A 6,633-nucleotide genomic window follows, 5' to 3' on the forward strand; every position below is an offset into this window, starting at 1 on the left:
TTTATGTGAAGTGCTTTTCTTCCTTTTGCTATTCAGCCTCCAGTTCGGAACTCTGGTATTATCTTTCTGCTTGGATGAATATCCCTGTGTAGCTGCTTTAAAAAAAAGAGAGACAGAGAGAAACCATACTGATACCTAATGGAGAGACTGCATTCTTGAACTTCATTATTAGAGATATAACCACCAAATTGACTTTAAATGTGAGATGCAGATGTCCACAAATGTAACTTTCCAAGTTGTAATCAAAATTTTACATTTAACTTACTATTGCCTCTCTATAAAAAATTCATTTTTGTGGTTTTTATATATGCTTTATCCTCACAATAATTTGGTTAAAATATATAAAAATATATAATATTATACATATCCAACTATGTGAACATATATTTGGATATAATATTTGGTATGTATATTTAGTAAAAAATATGAAGATATATTTTGTAAATATATATATGTGTGGAGATATATATATATGGGGCTATACCTAATAAATACATTGTCCTGCCCATTTTACCAAAATAAACACAACATTTTATACACACACACACACACACACACACACACACATATATATATATAGAGAGAGAGAGAGAGAGAGAGACAGAGACAGAGACAGAGAGATCCTTGTAAAATAGTAGAAAATGCACCTGATTTGGAAGCTCAAAATCTGTGTTCAAATTTCAGTTCTTGAAGTTGAATAATTGATCTCTTGAGCTTTTAGAGTGTCTGTATGTCTGCAAAAGAAAGATATCATGAGAATTATATATAAGACATGCCAAGTATATGCATATGTTAAATATAATATATTGTATAATTACATATATAATTATATAATGGAAATAAAGATGTTTAGAATAATTCTTGTAATATTAGCAGGTAACTAAAGAATAATGATACTTTGACATTTTTGTCTTTAGCATAATTGCAATCATTTGAGTCTGCCACTATATTTTACCCATTTTAATTCTGAAACATAATAAATACTTCACATTCATCAAGAATACCAGACATACTAGATAAAAAACTATGGCCAGCAAAAAAGACCTTTCTCATATTTAAATGGCTATGAATACTTGGAGGTGTGAGATCTGCCATAAATTCTAATTTCAGTTCTGTCACTTGATTCATAATACATGCAATCTATATCAACACATAATATCTATATCAATCTACTTTCTACTTCAATATTTAAAAATCCGAAGTTAAAAGTTGGCCCTAAAATGAAAGTCATGTTTCATATAACCATAATATTACCTAATAGAAAACCATTACTAAGTTGAGGCATAGAAATAGTTGAATTCTGTTTCAGTCATTACAGTGATAAATTGTAAATGCAAACCATTTATTCTGTTTTTATCTGTAAAACAGAAAAGAGGACATCTACATATGCTCAAGGTCTAAAATTCTGTGGTTTTATAATCTTCTAATTCTATTAATTTCCTAATAAATAATTTAAAATATAAACTAGTTTCAAAATACTTATGTTTCAAATAATGCAGGAAGCATTTTCAGTTTTCTACGTTCATCAAAGATGAGGCTTACCTTTCTTGGGCTGGCATCATATTTCAGATATGGCATGTCATATTCAACAACTTAAAGATGGCTGGGCGTGATGGTTCACACCTGTAATCCCAGCACTTTGGGAAGCCAAGGAGGGCAGATCATGAGGTCAGGAGTTCGAGACCAGCCTGATCAACATGGCAAAACCCCATCGCTACTAAAAATACAAAAATTAGCCAGGTGTGGTGGGGTGTGCCTATAATCCCAGCTACTCAGGAGGCTGAGGCAGGAGAATCGCTTGAACCCAAGAGGTGTAGGTTGCAGTGAGTCGCGATCATGCCACTGCACTCTAGCCTGGGCAACAGAGCGAGACTCCATCTCAAAAAAACAAAAAACAAACAACAACAACAACAACAAAACTTAAAGACTAGAGGGGTTAAAATATGGAAGGAAATTATATGTTTTAAAGAAAAAGACAAAATAATAAACAAATGCATTTAATATCTACTTTATGAGTAGAAGAGAAGACTGGTCTATTTTCTAGTGAAGAAATGGTCACTGTGAGCAAAGCTTCTTTCATTCCACATTGCCTTTCTTAAGATTTGTATCATTACATGTTTGCAATGCACTGTAATGTCACAGTCATTGTTATGAATAATTACAAAGTGAGATGTGTATTTTATGAGACTGTTACAGAGAACGAATCAGTGGGGGAAATTAAAAATAAAAGAGCCTAGATGTCTTCACAGCAGAAAGTCAGTTACCTATGCTCCTCTTCAGCTTTTATTATAAAATGTTTTTAGTGCTCAGAACCTCAGCTTTAATGATGTTTATTTCTTTCTCCATTTTTCACAATGTGACCAAAAACTGCACCATCATTAACAAATCATCGATTCCACATCCCCTTCTCTGACTCACTCTTTTCTATTTTTCCAGCACACTTAATCAAACTTCTCAATTATAACACTTACCATTGAGAAGCTTCATGCACTTGCCCCTCTCCCATAATCCTCAGTGTGTTTTCAGCTTTCTTCTTTTCCTGCTTAAGTTCCAGAGACAATCATTAAAATCATTTTGTTATCAATGTCTTTAATTTCTATGTCCCTCTCTCCATCCCTTCTCGCATGTTGGTCAAGACCCTACTAATTTCCTTTGAGCTTACATCCTGCCAATTGAGGGTTGTTAGATAAAATCACATAGATTGGCATTATATATTCCTAACAGTATTAATTGAGTAGTCAACAATGTCCATCAATCTTACTCTATTTTCATATGGTGCTAAAATATTTATATCAATGACTTTTTAATGCATTTTCCACACTAATCAAACCTCTCACTCCCTTCATCTTTTCATCACACTTTTTAGCTGATGACCTCAATTACTATTTTGTAAAATCTTGAAGCCATCAGATAAGAACTCAACTCATCTCATCACCAAACTGTAAACTTAACCTGAACAGTCACCAATACTCTCTTTATTCACTCTTGTTATAATGGATGTCAGAGTTTGGTTTCCCTTCTTCTATAATCCTAGCACTCTTATTGTATTTGGGATCCTATCTTACTCATTTTTTAGTCACATCCATTGACTATATCTTCCCTTTCTACACATTGTTGTACGTGAGTATTCAAACATTCTCTGGCATCTCCCATATTAAAGAAAAATAAATCTCTCCTTGAATCCCAAATTACTTTCCATATGCTATAATATTTTCTTTTTCATTTCAAGTCAAATTTATTGGGAAGAATCTTTATATATGCTACTTTATCTCCTAAGCCCATGTTGAATCTGAACTGACTCTCCATCTGGCTTCTACCTTTGCCATTATATCAAAACTGCTCCTACCAAAGACACCAAAAATATGTTCTGCCCACCCCAACCTTTCTTGAATAATTGGATAATTCCTATTCAAGTCTCATATTTTGTTTCCTCAATGATACCTTAATAATTAATTAAATTATGCTGTCATAGTACTCTGTATTTATTCTTCTTAGCATATATCTACATAGATTATAATTCAATACTTGTTGTTGCTCAAAGGCACATCACTCTATGGTGGTACAATTAAATAAAAATTCTGACCAAGAAGCATTACTGAGTACTGAGAGTAACACTATCAATACATAGCAAAACTTATCAAAAGAAATCTGCTTATTGCAACTCCTCCCCTAAAGATTCATTCAACAGTGTGATGGCTCTAATCCCTTTTTCACTTTTCTCTGCCTAAAACAATCTGAATTGTACCTCCACCTAATCAACTATCCTCTTCATTTCTTACTCAATTATCTCGCTACCTCTTTACTATATATAGAAATCTAGTCTTTTTCAGCAGCATTAAAAAAATGTCTTCTAAGAAGGATAGAGACCTTGTATCCTTCTATAAATGGGAAAGGGTTATAAACTCTTCAGTAATGTTTAATTTATAACCTTACTACTTACTTAGTCCCTATCTTTCTTAGATCTCTTACCTATAATTGAGGGAGTGAATGAGTGAATAAATATTTGAAAAAGAAATTGGTAATGACATCGTGATTCACTGACAATATGCCAAGAAAGAAGAATGAAAACTGTTAGAATTAAATATTTGTGTTATTTTAAGGTTTTGAAACTCTGCCCTTTCTTTTAGAGGTCTAAGTCATTAGATCCCAATATCTTTATTTAATTTTTATATGGTAGAGATCTAGGAAGAACATAATTGAGACATGTCATATAATTACTTCCTGATTTGATGTGCCATTTTAATTAATTTGGGGTTAAGTTCCCATACTATAGGATAAAATGGTGGGGTTCATGTTATCTCTTTAATTTTCCCATTACTCTGGGGAGGAGAAGGGAGAGTACTTAAGCTTTTCATATTAAAGTTTCTAAGCTGATAAAAATTCAAGGTTAGCACAGATTTTGTGTGGTTCAAGTAAGACACACACTATCTGAGGAATATTTAGGCGATCAAATATATTTTTAGAACTGTCTCAGAGTTTTTTTTTTCTCTGACAAAATAATACAGTTTCTAGGAAACCACTGAAAGACTATTTTTTAAGTTAGCTTCATGATGAGAATATTTTAAAAACCATCAGTACGTATTTTTTACTGAAACATTTCTCTATTCAAAACAAGCAGATGCACTCTGACTCAATATCAAACTCAAAATCATTACTGTTTATATCCAAGATTATCAAGTGGCTAAACTTATATCTGCCTGCTGTTTGTCAACACTTCCTCCTCAGCTGGCCAAGTGCACAGTGACTTTGTTTGACATCATTTGGCACACAAATTCTCCAAGTTTAATTCTTCAGGCCAGCACAGTTGCAAGTTTCTTTAGTCCTTCCCCTCCTCTGGATTATTCCAGAACACCTCCCCTTTTAAAAGGGGAACTGCTGCCCAATTATCTAGGGCACAGCTCTCTATGCATAAATCTCTAGTAAGGTACACATGGATTTTTCTCTCCCCAAAATAACTTCTTGAGAATTTCATGCCCCAGGGAATAATGAAGAAAATGTGATTCAGTTCCATTTCCACTTAATGACATATATTAACTTTGTAATGAATTCATAAACTTAAGTAACTAATTATTCTAAACCAGGAGTTAGCAAACTTTTTCCATAAAGAGCCAAATAGTAAACATTGTTGGCATTGTGAGCCATATGATCCCTTTCACAACTATTCAACTCTACCACTGTAGCTCAAGAACAGCCATAAACAATTCATAAAAGGATGAGTGTGACTGTGTAACAATAAACTCCATTTACAAAACAAATGGTGTGCCAGGTTTGACCCATAGGCCATAGTTTCCTGACCCCTCTTCAAAACTAACTATTAACATGTAGGGAGCATACTGGCATAAATGAAAAAACACGGTTATTGAAGTCAAGCCAACATGTATTCATATCCCGGCTCCAGCAATTTATATAATTTGGGATAAATGATAAGACCTATTTAAATCTTCTTTGTCATCTGTTAAAGGAAATTGTATCTCCCATCCCACACACGTTCTATGAATATTAGATGAGAAAAAATGTTTATAAAAAGTTTTAACAGAAATTTTTACAACAATGGACATAAAAATAACATTGCTATTTATGTGAATAATAACCATTATTTCAAATTCTATGAAACTTACCTCAGATTCAGTTTCATGCTTGACTGAGAATGGCTTGTCCTTATATACACTAGATACTTTAAAAACTGTGCTAGTAAGTGAAATGCAAGAAACACATGATTTTAGTTAACTATTTGAGCAGTAATTGTCAATCTGTAACTTGGGCATGACAAAAAAGTTTCATTTAAAAATCTATTATACTTTTTATTCTTCAAATCTAGACTCACAGGTTATTATCATTTTAATCTTGAAACCCCATCTTAATTAGTAATATAGTTGACATCCAATATAATTTTGCTAGATTTCAATAATATAATTAGTCATTGAGATAATCTTCATAGTGAACATATTTAAATTATTTACAAAATTAGTTTGGTTTACAATATTTGTAACAGTCTTCAAACGTGCATTTGGTTATTCTGACTACATACTAATGTCACGGTTTTATCACAGTTTTATCATGTTAACTTTTTCAAATTTCCTACTTTAAATTTTATAGGGAACCAAAAATGAGCCCATATAGCCAAGACAATCCTAAGCAAAAAGAACAAAGCTGGAGGCATCACACTGCCTGACTTCAAACTATACTACAAGGCTACAGTAACCAAAACAGCACAGTACTAGTAACAAAGCAGATATATAGACCACTGGAAGAGAACGGAGGCCCCAGAAATAACACCACACATCTACAGCCATCTGATCTTTGACAAACCTGACAAAAACAAGCAATGGGGAAAGGATTCTCTATTTAATAAATGGTGTAGGGAAAACTGTCTAGCCATATACCGAAAGCTGAAACTGGACGCCTTCCTTACACCTTATACAAAATTTAACTCAAGATGGATTAAAGATTTAAATGTAAAACTTAAAACCATAAAAACCCTAGAAGAAAACCTAGACAATACCATTTAGGACATTGGCATGGGCAAAGACTTCATGACTAAAACATCAAAAGCAATTGCAACAAAAGCCAAAATTGACAAATGGGATCTAATTAAACTCAAGAGCTTCTGTACAGCAAAAGAAACTATCATCA

The 6,633-nt window shown here is 32.9% G+C and overlaps 1 long non-coding RNA gene across 1 annotated transcript in view; it reads right to left on the bottom strand.

Moving 5' to 3' along the window:
* Window positions 1-5,635, bottom strand: part of LINC01473 (long intergenic non-protein coding RNA 1473) — a 52,787-nt gene extending 47,152 nt beyond the window's left edge. The window contains exons 1-3 of the long non-coding RNA NR_110218.1: window positions 5,619-5,635; window positions 2,472-2,539; window positions 648-734 (exon numbers count right to left, since the gene is read on the bottom strand). This is a non-coding gene — a long non-coding RNA (long intergenic non-protein coding RNA 1473). The remainder of the gene's footprint in view (window positions 1-647; window positions 735-2,471; window positions 2,540-5,618) is intronic.
* Between the last annotated feature and the right edge of the window lie 998 nt (window positions 5,636-6,633).

The sequence above is a fragment of the Homo sapiens genome, chromosome 2 (genome assembly GCF_000001405.40).
Source record: "Homo sapiens chromosome 2, GRCh38.p14 Primary Assembly".
NCBI classification, from domain to species: domain Eukaryota; kingdom Metazoa; phylum Chordata; class Mammalia; order Primates; family Hominidae; genus Homo; species Homo sapiens.